A 19,572-nucleotide genomic window follows, 5' to 3' on the forward strand; every position below is an offset into this window, starting at 1 on the left:
AAAGATTATTCTAGCCTCCTCCCCTTGCTTACCTGTGACGTCCCATTCTAACAATGAGAAACTCATCTCCTGTCATCTGTCAATCCATTCAGTTAACTGTTCAATTCCAATATACATGTATACTGTTTTCAGAATTATTAATCTGTACTCCTGTGGGAAACAACTTTACTAACTCTAGTACAGCACTTACATACAGTTCCTTTTGACCTTAGCTTTACAACACTCACTTCCAAGTTACTTAAGGCAGCAAATTCCCATCATGCCCTTCAATGAGATTGTTTCATACATTTTTAATACAGTTAGAATGCTTTGCTATATTCTACATTTCATCCTGGAATTTTTTGATCTCTTAAATTATTTCTTTAATTTTCATACATTAAGATTCACTCTTTGTGCTATAAAGTTTTATGATTTTTGACACATACTGTCATGTATGAACCATTACAGTATCATAAAAATAGTTTCACTGCCCTAATAAATCTCCTGTGCTTAACCTTTTTACACTTTTCTACGTATGTTTATTGTTTCTATAATTCTTTCCCTTTCCAAAATGTCATATAAATGGAGTCATACACTCTGTAGCCTTTTCCAACTGGCTACTTTCATGTGACAATATGCATTTAATATTTTTGATGTCTTTGCATGTCTTGTAGGTCATTCTTTTTTATTTATGAATAATATGTCATTGTAAGGCTGTGTCACAGTTTGTTTATCTATTCATCCATTAAAGGACATATTCCACTTTAGGGTGATTGCCAAATAAGCATCTATAAACATTTACGTATGGGGATTTGTGTGAACATATGTTCTCAAATCAGTTAGGAAAATAACCCAGGAGCGTGCTTGCTGGATCTAAGGTGAGACTATGTTTAGTGTTTTTAAGAAACTGACAAACTGTCTTCAAAAGTGGCTGTACCGCATGGCACATGTATACATATGTAACTAACCTGCACATTGTGCACATGTACCCTAAAACTTAAAGTATAATAATAATACATTTTTTTAAAAAAGTGGCTGTACTATTTTTCATTTCAACCAGCAATGAATGAGAGTTCCTTCTTTGCATTCTTTCTAGCAATTGGACTCGTATTTTTTAAATTTTATACATTCCAGTAGGTGTGTAGTAGTATTTATTGTTAGTTAATTTGAAACTACATAATAACAAATAATATTCAGTATCTTTTCCTATGCTCATTTTTTACCTGTCTTCTTTGGTGATGCATCTGCTTCAAACCTTTGCCCAGTTAAATGAGTTTTCTGGTTTTCAATTGTTGAGTTTTAAGTTTTTTGTATTTTGCATACAAGTGCCTTATTTGGTAGGTGTTTTGCAACTATTTTCTCTCTGTGGATTTTCTTTTCATTCTCTTTACAATGTTTTTCACAGAGTGCACACATTTTTAAAACGATACTTAACTTTACCAATTTGTCTTTCATGAATCTGAAAACTCATCACTAAATCCAAGGTTATATAGATTTTCTCCTGCTTTCTCCTAGAGATTTTATATAGTTTCTGCATTTTACGCTTAGGTCTACAAGCTATTTTGGATTAGTTTTTAGTGAAAGGTCTAAGGTTTTGTCTGGATTCATTTTATATTTTATTTTAAAAATTAACTTTCTTCATGAAATTGCATTTGCGCCTTTGTCAGAAATAAATTGACTCTATGGGTGTGGTTCTATTTCTGGACACTATTCTATTTATCTATGTTTTTATTCTTTCACCAATTCCACATTGTCTTGATTACTATAACTTTATAGTAAGTCTTGAAATTAAGTAATGTGAGTCCTCTGACTTTGTTGTTCTTCTATATTGTATTGCCTATGCTCAGCTACTCTTATCCATATAAAATATACAGTAGTTTGTTGATATCTAGAAAATACCTTGATGAGAATTTGATTGGAATCATATTGTATGTACAGAACATATTGGGAAAAACTGACATACTAACAATTTTCTGTCTCCAACCCATGAATGCAGAATGACTTTCCATTTATTTTTTCTTTGATTTCTTTTATCAGTGCTTTGTTGTTTCCATATACAGAGCCTATACGTATTTTGAAGATTTACACATAGGTATTTTGTTTGGGGGGAACTATTATAAATGATGTTTTTAATTTAAAATTTTAATTGTTTATTGACAGTATTTGACAAAGCAATTTATTTTTTATATTAATCTCGTTTCCTATGACCTTGTTATAATCACCTTTTGGTTTAAAAGTTGTCCTGTGTTTGTTATTGTCATGAATTCTATGACATTTTCTACACAGATAAACATTTCTTCAGTGGACAAAGAGAGGCATAGTTTTTTTCTTCCCCCGAAGCACATGTTTTATTTCAATTTCTTGTCTTAATGTACTAGCTAATACTTCCAATATGATGTTGAATAGAAGTTGTCAGAGGAGACATACTTGCTTTTTTCCTGGTTTCTCAAAATCCTTAAGTATAATACTACCTCTGGGCTTTTGTAGACGCACTTTATTAAGTAGAGGATGTCCCCTTTGATTCCACATTTGCTGAGATTATTTTTATCATGAATGTGTGTTGGATTTTATCATGAATGTGTGTTGGATTTTATCAAATGAATATTCTGCATACATTGATATAATAATATGGTAGTTTTTCTTTAGCCTGTTGACATCATGAGTTACATTAATTGATTTCTGAATGTTGGATCAGCCTTGCATACCTGTAATAAGTCTCACTTGGTCCTGATGTATAATTATTTTTATACATTGTTGGATTTGATTTGCTTATATTTTGTTGAAGATTTTTGGATCTATGTTCATAAGAGATATTGGTCTGTAATTTTGCTTTTTTGTATATCTTTAACTGGTTTTGGTGTTATGGAGTGGTCTTACAGAATGAGTTAGGAGTGTTCCGTCTGCTTCTATTTTCTGGAAGAGAGTGTAGATTGCTATTAAGCATTATTTAAACGTTTGGTAGAATTCAACAGTGAAGCCATCTGGGCCTAGTAATTTCTATTTGGGAAATATATTAATTATTGACTCAATTTATTTTGCAGATATGTTTATTCAGGTTATCTTTTTATCTTTGTGTGAGGTTTTGTAGTGTGTATCATTTAAGGTAATTTTATCTAATTTACCAAATTTGTAGACCTAGAGTTGTCATAATATTCTTTCATTATCCTGTTAATGTCCATGGCCTTGGTAAAGATTATCACTTTTTCATTTCCGATGTTTGTAATTTGAGTCTTCTATTTTTTTCTTGACTAGCCTCACTAGAAGATTGTTAATTTTGTTGATCTATCCAGATAACTAGATTTGGGTTTATTGATTTTCTCTGTTGTTTCTTCTAAGATTTTTATGATTTATCTTTTACATTTAGGCCTTTGTTCAATCTTATTTTGTCTATTTGTTTCTTCTCTCTTTTCTTCTATGTAGTCTTCACAATTTGGGCTTACTTGCATCCATCCTTATTTGGAAGTCTTTCCAGGTATTTGAAAGGAACTTGGGTGTTATAATCTAACTTTTTGGTCACCACAGCTGTATCTGCATTATGGGATACCCCAAGCCTAGTAATACTGTGGCTCCTGCATACTCTTAGACGTACTGACTTGGTCGTCTTGGATAAGATCTGGAAGAACTCTCTGGATTACCAGGCAGAAACTTTTGTTCTCTTCCCTTACTTTCTCCCAAGCAAAAGAAGTTTCTCTCTCTCTCTCTCTCTCTCTCTCTCTCTCTCTCCGTCTCTCTCTCTCCCTCTCCTTCTCTAAGCTGTTTCTGTCCCATGAGGGAACCTCCACTTCTCAATTGCATGTCCTGGAACTTAGGCTCTGCAATAGGTAGCCTAGGATGGGATCAGAAATGTTGATGTTGTAAAAGAAAGTTAAAATGGAGACCAGGCCTGAATAATTCCTGAACAGACAAAAGCAGTTAGGCCTCATAAGTGACAAAAGCCTTGCTATTTCTTGTAAATGCCTATAGTGAAGAGAAACATAACTTAAGATCAACCAATCAGAAGTAGCAAACAAACTTATAATTATATAATTAAGAACTTTCCAGTGGGATAAGCCAGGTAAGACAACTGTATATTGGCTACTAATCAAAGGTTTTCTTAGCTTTCCTTCTGTGTCCATCCTTTAAAAGCCTCCCCATTGTGATCCTTCAGTGGAGCTCCTGAACTGCTTCTGGTTTAGAGCTACACACTTCATGAACTATTTTTTGCTCAAATAAACTCATTAACATTTTATCGTGCCTCAGTTTACATTTTTAACAAAGTTCAGCCCCTCCCAGGAAGATACCATACTCTTGAACTTGAACCTGGAAGAGAGGCTGCCCTACGTTCTTGGCTACACCCATCTGGAATTTAGTTTCCTTCACACGGTGATAAGGAAGAGCAAAGGGAGTGGGTCATGGTTCAGATGCCACAGACTCTCACTGTTGTTACCAAATGTCAGATTTTCTTGAATATGTTTTTCTTCATTTGCTATATGCCCTTAGGTCATTTCCAGATATTTTAAATTGCTTTAAAAATAATTGTTACCAGTTTCACTGGGGAGTGAATCCATGGAGCTCCTCATGTTGTCAATGCAAGAAGTGGAACTCCCTGGGTGTAACTTTTGTCACTTAGTTTTAATTTTTATATTTACCTTAGGTTCTATATTTTTATTTTTATAATTATTTTTATAATTTATTTTTCTGTTTTTGCTATGGTCTGAGTGTGTCCCCCAAACTTCATGTTGAAACTTAATCACCAAAGTGATAGGCATTAAGAAGTGATTAAGTCATGAGGGCAGAGTTTTCATGGATGGGATTAGGCTCTTATTGAAGGACTTGAGAGAGTGGCCCTTATTGTGCTCTTCTGCTCTTCTGCTGTGTGAAGACACAGTGTTCATTTCCTTTTCGTGCCCTCTGTACCTTCCTCCATGTCAGGATTCAGTAAGAAGGCCCTCACCAGACACACAACCAGCTGACATTTTTGATCCTGGATTTCCCAGCCTCAAGAACTGTAAGAAATACATTTCTAGTCTTTATAAATTGCCTAGTCTGTAGTATTTTGTTATAGCAGCACAAACAAAGACAAATTTATTCTTCCCTCATGTTTGCTAGATATAGAGCATTGTATTTTTCCCTCCATCATAACCTATTATTTTGAAAGTTCTATTTATTTCCATTCAGCAAATTGTTGACTTAAAACTTCTAACAAATATATTTAAACCTATAATCTCCCATCAACGAAGAATATTAATCCAAGTTTAGCATATTCCTCAAACAAGATTCTTAGAAAGCTTTTGTTTATTTTCTACTCTTCCCATATTTTTGGGGTTTCATTGATCTCAACTGAATATTTCAAATCATTATTTCAATAATATCTCATTTCTGTTTTATAAACCATTACATAAAAATTTTGTTAAATTTTATAGCCTTATTATAAAAACTATTTATTGTAAACTATAATATTTATTTCTTGCTCTCCACTATTTCTTATATTTGGCTTGGATTTTATATTCTCCTTTTCCCAGAATATGTCTTAGAATAATTCTTTCTGTGATACTGCACAGATTTTCTATTTCCTGAGTCCCTGTATCCCTGAGAAGGCTTTTATTATGCCTTCATACTTTATTGATACTTTTTCTGATTAGGGAACTCTAGTTTAAAAATCTTTTTCCCTCAGCAGTTTATAGATGTCACTCCACTCTTTCTAACAGCTTGCATTGTGCCTGAGAAGTCTGATAACACTGAGATTCACATTTTTAATGGTAATCTCTTCTTTCTTTGTAGAAAACTGTAGTATTTTACCTTTATCCATGAAGTTTGAAAACTGATCTAAAATATGTCCAGGTTTATCCTGGTAAATCATTATTGCTATTGTCCAAATGTTTTTGGTTTTCCTTCTGGGCGTATGGTAGACTGTACGCCCATCTCCTTGAAGTTACATGTGGCCATGTGACATGTATTGGCTAGGAAGATTTGATAAGAGATAACATTATTTTCATGAAGTAACTTTAAGAGGAATACACAATTTGCCACATTCTCTTCCATCTGCAATAATGATTGTGCAAACCCACATTGGTCTAAACCTCTTTAAGTCTGGTCCCTTGGTAATTACAATAAGCAGAGCTCCCCCGCTGCCTTATCATTGAACAGGCAGTATAAAAAATAAATAAAATATTTTGTTGTTTCAAGCCACTGATATTTTTGGATTGTTTAATATTACAATGTAATGTAACCTATCCAGGCTGAAACAGGAATCAGTACCTGTAGGTGGGGTATTTCCATAACAAAAATAATAACAATAACAGTAACATTAATAATAATATATATGTGCATTTGCTGAGGTACCAGATGATGGGTATTAAGCTGTTATCAGAGGCTGGAAGAATGGTGATCCAGGCTTCGTAGTGCTTAAATATTTGCTGAACCTGTTGACTGCATTAATTTGTAAGGCAGATTATCTGCCTAACCAATGTGTAGCTCTAGAGGAAGAGACTAGAATAAAGAATGTTGGTACTGTATGTTAGTTACTGTTGAGTGAATATGACAAGGTATTACGAGAAAGAGCAGAGATCGGAAAAGAATTGGCTAGTTGGCAAACAGTGATGAAATTGAACATAGAGTCCAGAAATCTGAGAACTTGCAGGGTTGGAAGAGGTAATTGCTTCTCAGTCCCAGTGAGTAAAAGACAAAACATAGAACATAGGAGGGTTTTGGTGACAGTTTATTAAAATTCAGCCTCCAAGCAAGGATTAGATCAAGGCTGTGGCCATCTGATCATTGTAAAAATCTTTGAATGGACTGTGTTGTCTCAAAGGAAAGACCAAATTAGGGCCATTGCTGCAGTAATTTTTTTTTTTTGACAGAGTCTCGCTCTGTTGCCCAGGCTGGAGTGCAACGGCACAATCTCAGCTCACTGCAACCTCCACCTCCCAGGTTCAAGCAATTCCCCTGCCTCAGCCTCCCGAGTAGCTGGGAATATAGGTGCATGCCACTACACCAGGCTAATTTTTTTTTTTTTTTTTTTGTATTTTTAGTAGAGATGGGGTTTCACCATGTTGGCCAGTCTGGTCTCGAACTCCTTACCTCAGGCAATCCGCCCACCTCAGCCTCCCAAAGTGCTGGGATTACAGACGTGAACCACTGCGCCCGGCCACTAAATCTGTTTTATTGGACAAAAAGGTTTAGGAGAAATTAACTTAGGGTATAGCTCTCCCATAGAAGCCTGATATCCACAGTTAAATTGTGAGAGACATGACAATGAGAAAGCAAATAAATACAGTGAATATGCAAATTGTGTTTCAAAATGAATTGTGGGTGTAGTTATTGGCATTTGGAGCTGAGTCAAACTAAATAGATAACGACCTTGGGCTAAATTAACTGTGACTGTGTGACACTTAAACTGACTCTTGGGCTCCAAATCTACTATAAACAGGAAACAGGTTGTGAGTTCTTCAGCCCCCAGTGAGTATATATTTCCCAGTGCTCAATCCAGATGTGGTCAAGGAGGGTGACAGAAAAGAAGAAAACCCTTTGAGACAGAGACAACGTCCATAGAGAAAAAGTGACTGGAGATTACTTTCCAGGAACCAGGATTAGGGCTTAATCAAGGAACGTTTCCAGCCACTAGGCAGGGGACTCTTTCTGTGTCAGAATTGCTATTAACCAGTGGCTGATTTGATTCCCATTCTTCTCTCTATAAGAGATTGTTTATTGTGATTATCCTTTCCCTATTTCACCACTGAATGTTACATATGAGGGGGCAAACAACTTTGTGTTTTGTTCATAACTCTTGACAAAGAGGGGACATCTTCAGAAAAGATAAAGAAATTTTCAAACATGACTCAGAGATTCTAGGTTTTGAGAGGGAAAGAGTGATGGAATGGGACTTTTTGATTACTCTCATGGGAGTAGGGAGATAAATGGGTTCTGCATGATGAAAGAGAACAAACAAAATATTCAATGACAAGAAAGGAAGACCGGGGTAGCAATCAGTGCTATCTACCAAATATTCCAGTTATCGTATCAAGTACATGGTATATTGCTCTTCCCCACCTCTTGAAGTTAGATGTGGCCATGTGATTTTTGCCAAAGAAATGTGAGCCGAAGTTATATATTTCACCCAAAGATGAAAGTTTTAAAAGTCAATGTACAATTTCCTACATTCTTTTACCCTGCCATGTGATCATGGAAGCTGGTGTTGTGATGAGTTTTCTCCTTAGAATTACCTTGGGAGGTTTTACAAATGCTGATGTGCAGACCATACCAGAGAACAATTAAGTGAGAATATCTGCACGTGTTACCCAAGCACTTGAATTTCTTTCTTTTTATTTACACTTTTTGGTAGGGTAAAATTTACACACAATATAGCATAAAAATTGTAAGTATACAGTTCAATCTTTGCATATATACATATGCATACATACACAATGCACCATGACTAAGAAAAAGATATAGATCAAGGGTCAGAAAACTTTTTCTGCAAAGAACCAAATATTTTTGGCTTTGTGGTCCAGCCAGTCTCTGTTGAAACTACTCAACTCTATTGTAGTGCAAAAGCAGCCATGGGAAATATGTAAACGAGTAAGGATGTCCATATTCCAATAGAACTTTACAAAAACAGGTGGTGTGTCCCATTTGGCCAGTGAGCTGTAGTTCGCTGATCCCTGATATAGACCATTTCTAGCACCCAGGAAAACTCCCTCTTGCCCTTTCCCAGTTAATACCATTCCAAAGGTAACAACTACTTAATGTCAGTATTTTAAAGCTATCTGAGTGATTACGTGCGCAGACAAAAAGTGCAGAATCACTGGTCTAGACTGATCAATATTAATAGCTGTGTGTATTACCTCAGCATAAGTAAAATTCCCTATTTCCTACATTGACTCAAGATTCTGCGTACAAAATGCTGGCTATGTTCCTGTTGGGAGCAAGCATGCTTTGTACTCCTCAAGGCAGTTTGTCCTCGAGGCAGTTTGAAGATACTTGCAGTGCTGTCTCACTTTCCCCACTCTAGTCCTAATATCCCTTCTGGTAGTCTCCCACAGCAGACGCACAGCTTTAACTGAAAAAATGTGACATATTCAGCTGCCTTGAGAGCAGACTGACACAAAAAAGCTGCTCCTGAACACTTTACTCTGATGATTCTATGGCATTTTTCCACTCTCAGACATAGCTGCTTCTAATCTTTAGGTTTTCCTGTGTTCCGAAGTCTTTTTGTCACCTATATGGAGCTTTAGTTTATTCAGTCCTGTTAAGATCCACCATTAAGTTTATCACATAGAAACTTACTTTCCAAAATTTGCTCCATGTTGTAGATATTTATGGCACACTTTAAGGATTTCTTTTTTTTTTTTTTTTTTTTTTTGAGACGGAGTCTCGCTCTGTCGCCCAGGCTGGAGTGCAGTGGCGGGATCTCGGCTCACTGCAAGCTCCACCTCCCGGGTTCACGCCATTCTCCTGCCTCAGCCTCCCAAGTAGCTGGGACTACAGGCGCCCGCCACTACGCCCGGCTAATTTTTTGTATTTTTAGTAGAGACGGGGTTTCACCGTTTTAGCCGGGATGGTCTCGATCTCCTGACCTCGTGATCCGCCCGCCTCGGCCTCCCAAAGTGCTGGGATTACAGGCGTGAGCCACCGCGCCCGGCCCCACTTTAAGGATTTCTAATGCTGCTATGAGATTATTCATATTTTTATGATCCTTTCACAATACTTCAGTGGGTTTATGGGAAGGAAGAGAGCTATTAAACATCTTGAAAGTGAAGTCCGCTAAGACAGTAGTTGGTGGATGTGTAAAGTGGGAGAGATTTTGACCATTCTTTATCCTATTTAGATCCACTTTCGATGACTGTAGGGTTCTTCAAGAAGTTTAAGGGGTATAGTTTTTGTCATACGGTTTAAGTCTGGATGATGGAAACACAGTTAGGGGAGCCAAGTTGAAGGGTCAGGAATGAGTCAGAGTCTGGTGGATGGTATTTCACATTCTGTCTCCCCGTCACCCTCTTCCTTTACGAAGGAGTAGAGATAAGGTTGTTATATATCATTTGCTATGTATTTGTCTTCAAATAAAATGAAAAATTAACTTAAGCTAGCTCAAACAGTAAGGAAACATTGAATCACATAACAGAGACCTGAGATAGGGTGGGCTTTAGGGCTGGTTGATCCAGTGGTTTACTGATGTCATCAGGGACTCAAGTTCTTTCCATTTTGTTGTCCATACATTTCATACTGTGGCTGGTTTCTCTTGGATTATAAGACAGTTTACACTACTGAATGGAGTTACTGGTTTTCTCATTTGCATTCTGGAGAAGAGGATCACTGTTGGAAATTCTGTCAAAAGAATGAGTGAGAATTCTCCCAGAATCCCTTAGCCACATTTTCATTTCTATTTCTGAACTAAATATGCGACAAAGGGGGATGGATTACCTCAGATTAATCAAATCTGTCCAAGGTGCAAAAAGGATTAATTTTGCCCAACATATATATGATCGATGTGGAAGGAGTGGAATCGTAAACTTAGGGTTCTGTTAGAAAGGAGGAAGGGAGAAATGGATGCTGGGCATTATCAATTGAGAAATGCCACCTCTCCAGGAGGTGGCAGTTGGAAAGTTATTAAAAAAAAAAAAGGGCAATGTGGTTGAGCGGTGAAGAGCCTGGAAGAAGGGCAGGTGCACTTGTGCATGTTGCTTCAACTTCCTGTGCCTTTGTTTCCTCATGTGAAAAATGGAGATAAAATAATACCTATCTGACAGAGTTGTGTGAGGGTTTGCTCATTCACAAATATTTCTGAGAGTTTACTATGTGTTGGGCACTCTTCTGAAAGGAACTGCTGTGGTGAAAATGAAGATTAAGTCCTTGTCCTGAGGAAGCTTGCTTTTTAGTATGTGCATGGGTGTGGGAGTGTATGCAGTAGAAGAGGAAGGGCACTCCCAGGCCTTCCTGTATCACCTGTATTGTCAGGTCCTCAAACCATGTTAGAAGGGTTTAATGTTGAGGCTGAGAATCATGGTTAGCAGATAGAGCAGAGAAACTGGACGTTTCTCCTCAGGCACACGGACCAGTGCCAGTAACACCACCTGGGAGCTTGTGGAAATGCAATGTCTCTGGCTGGACCCAGACCCTCTGAGTTAGAATCTACATTTTAACAAGATCCCTCAGGGGATTCACAGGCACTTCACAATGAGAGATGCGCTGACTTATGACATTTGCTTTCAGTCTATGTGGAGGCAATGACAGTTTGAGTGGGAAGTGAGGTTTTCACAATGATGACTCAGTTTTGGTTCTGCCCAATCTTCATGCCCACCTGTAATGTTGTAGTTATTATCTTTGCATTCTACAATTACCAAAGTGGAAAAAATTATCTGGCCTAATATTATCATTTCCACCCACTAATGCAATTATTTGTTTGTTTTGTGTTTTTAATCCATAGCAATAACATTTACTATTGACATTTCTGTTGCAATCATTTATGTCTATAATCCTTACCAAAAGTTACCTTGGAATAAGAAGAAGTCAGTAAAAAGAAGGCTGTTGTTCCGTGAAATACTGTCTTTATGCCTCAGATTTGGAGTGCTCAGAGCCTCTGCAGCAAAGATTTGGCATGTGTCCTAGGCCTGCTCAGAGCAGCAAATCCCACCCTCTTGGAGAATGAGACTCATAGAGGGACAGCTCCCTCCTCAGAGGCTTCTCTAATGGGACTCCAAAGAGCAAACACTCAGCCCCATGAGGACTGGCCAGGCCAAGTGGTGTGTGGGAACAGGGAGCAGCGGTTTCCAAGAGGATACAGTAGGTGTCTCTATCTCTTCCTATAGTGCAGGCTCCAAAGCTTATCAGTGCTCCATGGCCTGCATTGAGCAAGGTCCTGGAATAGGGTTCAGGGCAGTGATAAATTCCAATGCTAATGTGGGATGAACCCCTGGGGGCTTCACCTCCTTCTTTTAGGATGTCTGTGGAAATTGAGAAAGACCCTCTCTCCATGGTATTGAGCCTACACATGGTTGTGAAACAAGAATTGCTTTGACTGAATCTCACTTTTTTCTAGGTGGACTCACAGAGTCCCTTACATTCATTATTAGTTCATTCGTTCATCCACTCATTATCTTACTCTGTATCAATCCCAGGGCTGAGAACTTACTTTCCCCATTGTCCTCATTTATCTAACAAGCCATTCTCCTATTGACCTCATTTTCTTAGTCTGATGAACACTGGCTGCTAGAGAAAATCTTACCAATAAGCAGATTGACTTCAGTGAATATTCATAGTCTGCAAGTTCAACTGGCTCTTTGAATGCCTGGTCTTTCCTTTGACTACCTTAAACCTTCTCTACTCTCTTCAAACCACTTTTCTTTCACTCTCAGCATATATTTTCACTCTCCTATTTCCAAATAAAATAGAATTCATCAGACCGTTTCCCCTGTTTTTTCCCTCCAGCCCATCTAAAATTTACCTGCAACTTAAAAGTGATCTATCTGGGATTACTACGGATTTCTTTGTTGCTAAGTTTAATTATAATTGATATCCTGATTACTTCTAAATACTTATCTCTGATTCAGATCTTTCTCCTAGCCTCGGTTCCATAATATCCAACTTCCTCCTGAACATCTCTAATTGGATGTCCCCAAACTAAACTCAAGAGATCCTGAACTCTCAACACCAAACCGTAATTAACAAATAACACAGCCATCCATTCAGACATCCAAGCTAGAAACCTGATTATCAAGCTATATCCTTTCCTCTTCTATATTCCCATATTTAGTTACCAAATTTTGTACATTGTATTTTTTAAGTGTTCTTTAAAAAGGGTGTTAGAAAGGCTGGACTTTGCATTTTCAGGTGTCTAGAACACTAGCTACTGCCTGAACACATTTCCTAGCCTCCTACATGGCCTCCCTGCAAGCAGTCTTACTCCTTGTCATTCTGTTCTACCAGCAGCAAAGAGATCATTTTAAATCTCATCTGGTCATAACATTCTCCTACGTAATGTTTCTCAGTGGGTCCTCATTGATCTTCAGATAAAGTTCAAACTCCTGACCCTGGCCTACACAGCTCTGCATGACTGCCTTGTACTTAGCTCTGCACCCACATCTCTATACCCACATCTCTATCATGTGCTTCTGCACTATGTTCTCTGCCCTCTCCCAGTACTATCCTTTTGAGCTACACTTGATTCCTAGCAGTTCCTCAACAGCTACTTGGACTTTGAGCCTCTGAACCATTGCAAATGTTGTTTTCTATACATGAAATACTATTTCCCTCTGTTAATCTCAAAGAGTGGGAGCAAAGGGGCACAAAGGCAAAGAACCACAGTTTGAGAACTTCAGCTCAAGTTTTATCTTGAGCTTCCAGCTTTTCAAATAGGAGGAAAAGGATATATCTAGATAATTTTGAAAGGAGAGAGAGAAGAAAGTGTCATCCTCCTTGATCTTTCTCTTCACTGGTTCCAGTATCCCAAGTCTCCTTTTCCATTTCCATTTCTCCCATCCCCTCAGATGATTGACAGCTAAATGAAGTCCACTTGAAAGATAGCTTCAGTGGGCAGCCTGAGAAGGAGCACCAAACTCCTGACATACAAGTGACTGGGGCATCACTATAAGATGAAGATGTTTTCACACAGCTCCTGGACAAGGTTGCATCACTCTTTTTTCTTGGTTTCAAATTACATCCTTTGACCCTTGTTCTGAGTGCACTCTTCCCAGCTTGAACCCCCAGGATAAAAGTGAAACTTCTGCTAGCCGTGAAGCATTAGAAGCATTAGATCCACAGAGGCAAGGGACAGGGAAATCACAGTGAGTGGATGGGGGCATTGAAAGGCTTTTTTCTTGCTGTCTTTGTTCTCTGCTTGATGACGAAGAATCATTAATGCAATAGCCTTGGTCTGATTTGTGGATTCATACACCATATAAAAGACAATTTAAAAATTCATTCTCCTCAAAAATTGTGTTTGTGTGTTTACATCAGAGGAAAGTTGATACAAAAATGTTGTTCATATGTGAATAACTATAATACATTGAGTGGATGTCATAAAATGAAGCAGTCACTGGCGTCAGTTTAAAGTGTTCCTGGGAACCAAGGCAACTAACGTACCAGTTCTATCTTCCCTAGGAATCTCTTTCTCTGATGTGGAAATGTGTGCTTTTCTTTCCCAATTGATAGAATGTGACTGTTGGCAAACTCAGGGTCCTTCGTGTACCAAAATTTCACAGAGGCTTTGCTGAGACACTACTCCTCAGGCCTATGTCTTCTTGGTCCCTGGGTCTGTTGTAAAGTGGGAATCTTAGGCCCTAAGTGATTCCATAAGAAGTGGGCATCCTACCCAGAATCCAGAGTTCAGGGGCTGTCCCCCAAACCCACTGACACGACCTTAAATGCAGCTGCCCCTGCTCTTACAACCCCATAGCTGCTGGGATTTCCCTCCCTGACTGCTCACTGAAGACATCTTTCGAGTGAGTTTTATTTAGTTGTTAATCCCTCAAGGAGGTGGGTGGGAGAATGAAAAGGTCAATAATGAAGAGGCTTGGAAGGCTGGCCTCTTCATTAGTAACAGAGAAAGAGGTCAAAAAGGATGATCCTTTCATCACTCCCTCCCTTCCCTACTCTCAGGTAAATCTGTAACTTACGCTGTGGCTTAGAGTCTCTGTGAATCTCTTCCCCTCTCCTTCCAGAGTCAAAAAGACATTGACAATTCTGTGCCTGGAACTTGCAATAACCTGATATGTACAGAAATCAGCAGTTGCCCCCTCCCCCTACCCAGAAGGAGCTCATGGTCCTGTGGCAGATAGCTAGCTAACACACTGTTATCAGCACTGTGACAGTTATAGCATGATGGGCCTGGGAGCAAGGACAGGGACAGAGCACACTCAGGGATCAAACACAGCCTCAAGTATTCAGACCCTCAATCCCCTGACTTTCTCCTAGTGAGGCATTGCCTGTTAGGCGTCATTGTTCTGCAGTCCAGAGCTGCCTCTGTGGCTTTGACCAATATTCTAAATGCTCTGGGCCTTGTCCTTTTGCCCTAATGCTTATCAAGCTCTCAACTTGTGTGGTTTCTCCCTGTCCACATATGGTCTTCCCAGGCAATTCAGTTCTTCCTGGTTCTGTCTACAGGGTGCTCTTAGTTCACCCATGAGGACAACGACATTGCTGGCAAAAATCACTAAAAATCACTGAGCTAGAACGAGGTTTTTCTAAAGATGCAAATCTAAGGATTGGACACCTGTGGTTCAAGTGCCCCGTTTTTGTTGCATGTTATTGAAAACTGCCCTCTGTGCCAGTGCTGGTCTGTTTTGTTCTCCACTATGTTCCTAGAACCTTGCATAGGGCTCTATGAGCAGTAGACTTTTGTAGGATGAACATCCTGCCACTCCAAGCCAGTTTCAAACAGAATTTGAAGAGAAACCTTGTACTATAGGACTTTTAAATGTTTACCCAAATTAATAAACCAGCACTGAAACTTACATTTGATTGATGAGCCTTAGTTATTTTCCAGTGGTTAAAATCTTGGAAAGGAATAAAGATGAGGGAAAGTGTATTGGTTTCCTATGAATACTATAACAAATTACTACAAATGTAGTTACTTAAAAAAACCACAAATTTATTATCTTACAGTTCTGGAAGTCAGAAGTCCAAAATGAGTGCCACCGGGCTGTGATCCTTTTGCAGGCCCTATGGGATAATCCATTTCCTTGCCCTTTGCAGTTTTCAATGTCTACCTGCATCCTTTGGCTCCTGGCCCCTTTCCCCCATCTTAAAAGCCAACAGTGTTGAGCTAAGTCCTTCTCAGGCTGTGATGTCTATGGTTTTAATTTTTGCCTTCCTCTTTCACTCATAAGGATCCTTGTGATTATCCTGGCTCACGTATGATTACACTGGCTCATGTGTGATTACACTGGCTCATGTGTGATTACACGGGCTCACATGAATAATCCCAAGTAACCTCCCTATTTTAAGGTCAACTGATTAGCAACCTTAATTCCTCTGCCATGTAAAATAATATATTCACAGATTCTGATGATTGTGATATAAACATATTTGGGGGTACCATTATTCTGCCTACCACAAGAAGGATTCTGGGCACCAAACTCTCAACAAATTTCTTATTGATAGTCATTCTTGTGTCTTGCTCTCTGAGCCCAGTACCCTATCTCACCTCCACTTCACTGGTCTCTGCTTCCCTCCCTCCCTCCCTCCCTTCTTCTGTCTTTCTTTCTCTCAATCCTTTCTTATTCTCTCACTCCCTTCTCCTCCTCCTCTTCTCTTTTTCTATTAGTTTCTTCTCCTCAGCCTATAAACTTTCTAATGTTTCTCCCACATAAAAATAAACTAACTTATCACAACCTTTCTTAACCCCACATTCCCTCCAGCTACAACTGTGTATTTATTGTTTTCCTTTCTGCAGAATGTCCTAAAGGAGTCCTTTCTGTTCACTACCTTTCTTCTCTTCTCCCTCACTTATCAACCCATTTGACTCCTGCCTCTATTACCCCACAGAGAGCACTCTCATGAACTTCACCAAAGGCTCTTGTCCATAAATCTAAAGAAGATATGTTCAGTCCTTGTCCTTTCTAAAATCAGCAGCAGCAGCTGATATCACTGAACATGCCCACTCCTCTATCCTTCCAGAAATCCTATCTTTCCTCCCTCAGCCTCCGTTCATAACACCACCTCCTCCTGGTCTTCCTTGTGCTTGTCTGGCTGCTCATTGTCAGTCTCCCTTGCTGGCTGCTTGTCCCAGGCCCACCTCTTAAGTGCATCTGCTCCTCTTCAGAATATCTGGGCCACATTCTCTTCTCATTCTGCACTCCTTCCCATGACTGGAGGTGTTGGGCAGGGGCAGGAGACATAAGGAGGTCCTAAGGTTTCAATTACAACCTTTACTACACTGACAAAGTCTTGATCCCATATTGTTTTCTTGAGTTCAGGCCTCCAGACCCTGAGATCCAGACACTGACCTACAGATCATGACATACAATTGCCTCCAGCACACCTCCACCAATCATGACCCATAGACACCTCCATCTTCATATGTCTGGTGCTGAGTTCGTCATCTTCCACTCAAATTTGCTTCTCCTCCAGTGTTTCTTACCCATGTCCAGAAACATTACCCACCTTCCCCAGTCACTCAAGTCAGATGCCTTCTTTGCTGTCATCTTTGATGCCTCCTCTTCTTCAACACCAGTATCTAATTAGTCTTTATGTGTCAATGATTTCAGCTTCTAAATCTCTCTCAGGTCATGCCCTCTGCTTCACTCCCAGTTCCACTGTATAATTCAGGGTTCATCATGTCATAAGCAGATGATTACACTGGACTTGTGTGCCCATGCTTCCCTTCTTATTCCATTCTGTCATTGAAGCCAGAGCATCTCCTTGTCTAACACAGAACTTGGGCCCAGTCATGACCTCACCATGCCACCATTATCATTACTCCTCCACACTCTTGCTTAACATCTTTTAGTGTCTGTCCGTTGCTTTGAAGGTAAGGTCTAAAGGCATTCCCCAACCCTTACAGAAGCCTTTGCACATGACCTGTCTCTGCCTTCCTTCCCAGCTTCATCTAATAGCCTCCTTCCCTTTTCTGTCTCCCCTCTAACCATAATTAACTACTCAGTATCTGTAACCTTACTCTGTGTACACAATATTCCTTTGGCTAGATTACTTCTGCTGTTCTCTCTCTCTATCTCTGACTTTCCTCCTTGTCCTCACCCCACTCTTGATTAGGACAAGCCACCTATTCAGTCCAAGTCACAGGTTAGATGCTAGTTTTTCCAGAAAGCTCTTCCCTGAGTGTCTCAGGCTAGTCAAGGGCCCCATCCATGCTCCCCCCGACTCCGACATTCAACCTTTTCATGATTCTTTTCCTGTCTCTCTGACACTAGATTATACCCTCCTTAGAGCACACTCCATGCTTGCCTTCGCTGCAGAACCCCCATCACTTAGCACAGGACTGACACCCATGCCAAGGAGGTTTTCAATAAATATCTGCAAGTGAATGAGTCCCCTTCCATTTATTACATGAAGCACAACAGAAGCAGGCTGGCATCTGGCAAACAACCATATCCAATTCAAAGAGTTGTTGTCAGTGCTTAACACAGCAACTGGCACCCAGGAAGCACTCAGTGGATGACAGTTCTCAGTGTTAGTATTGTTGTTGTCACTATCCCTTCATTTACTTAATTTGGCCCTAAGTTCCTGTGTAACTCTTCCAACTTACAAGTTGTTCTGGGTTAGGATTTTGAGAAACTCGTCTCCATCATATTCATTTCTTCACTCAACGATCATTTCCTGAGCCTTCTACTATGTACTAAGCACTGTGCTGGTATCCAAATGTGGAGAAATAAAGAGAAAGGTGGAAAGAAGGAAACTCAAAAGCCAAATATATGTCAGGAGTTTAATACATAATATCTGCTCTGTCCACCAGTATGCCTCCTTTCTCAAGAGCAGAAATTTTCCCAGGAAGATATTTTATTTCCAGAGAACAATCAAGATGATTTTTTAAATTTTCAAAATAAAGAAAATCATAAATTATCAACCCATATTCGGAAAGCATATAATTGTGTTGAGAATTGTTATTCTACCTTACACCTTCCTCTGATCTGATTGCAGCTCAAAGGATAAATATGAGCACGGCAGTCAGTATTTATCCTGTCAGGTACTGGGACTTTGGAACTTCGGGAGCATTGGATTTCCCTCCCCTCAATATGTACTTTGCTGCTATTTGCATCCAAAATGCACATCACAACATTTCCTTCATGTAAACAATAAAAACCATTTCAGAATACCTTGTATACAGACATAATTGACTTCATTTCTGATAAATTTGGCTAGAATCCTGGAATATCAAGTCCAGAAGGGCCCTTAAAGGTCACATAGCTCAAGATCCTCATTACACAGGTGACTATTTGAGACCTAGAGATGTGGAGGGCCTATTTCAATTCAGGAACCGTGTTGGGATTAGATGTATCTCCTACATACGTAATATGGTTTGGTTGTGTCTCCACCCCAATCTCATCTTGAATTGTAGCTCCCATAATTCCCATGTGTTGTGGGAGGGACCCAGTGGGAGATAATTGAATCATACTGTTCTCATGGTAGTGAATGCTTCTCATGAGATCTGATGGTTTTATAAGGGGTTTCGCCTTTCGCTTGGCTCTCATTCTTCCTTGCCTGCCATGTAAGATGTGCCTTTTGCCTTCCACCATGACTGTGAGGCCTCCCCAGCCATATGGAACTGTGAGTCCATTAAGCCTTCTTTTCTTTATGAATTATCCAGACTCAGGTATGTCTTTATCAGCAGTGTGAAAACAGACTAATACAATATAAGTGGCAATTAAAGATTGTAACCATCTTTCATGTGCAATAGCTCATTTAATCTTTGTAGTCATCCCTGGGAAAGTTTTATTATTATGCTGTGTTACATAGAGGTTAAATGACTTGCCCAAGTTCACACAGCTGGGACAGTGGTATATCCCAGATTAGAACTCAGTATTCCTGCCTCCCTGTGCCTGTATCTTTTTACCATTCACACTAGTTCCAACCACCACAAGCTTTTTCCCATGATCATGTTGGTATCTTATTTTTCTCATGGATTTTGACAGAGACCATTCCTGATCCAAGCCTCTTACATGG

The 19,572-nt window shown here is 39.3% G+C and overlaps 1 annotated feature.

Moving 5' to 3' along the window:
• Window positions 12,828–13,122: a silencer, noted in NCBI's record as "tiled region #4801; HepG2 Repressive non-DNase unmatched - State 24:Quies". NCBI's record gives its function as "represses a minimal TATA promoter and a strong SV40 promoter by Sharpr-MPRA in HepG2 cells {active_cell/tissue: HepG2}" and the evidence as "EXISTENCE:reporter gene assay evidence [ECO:0000049][PMID:27701403]".

This window comes from Homo sapiens, chromosome X (genome assembly GCF_000001405.40).
Source record: "Homo sapiens chromosome X, GRCh38.p14 Primary Assembly".
Classification (NCBI taxonomy): domain Eukaryota; kingdom Metazoa; phylum Chordata; class Mammalia; order Primates; family Hominidae; genus Homo; species Homo sapiens.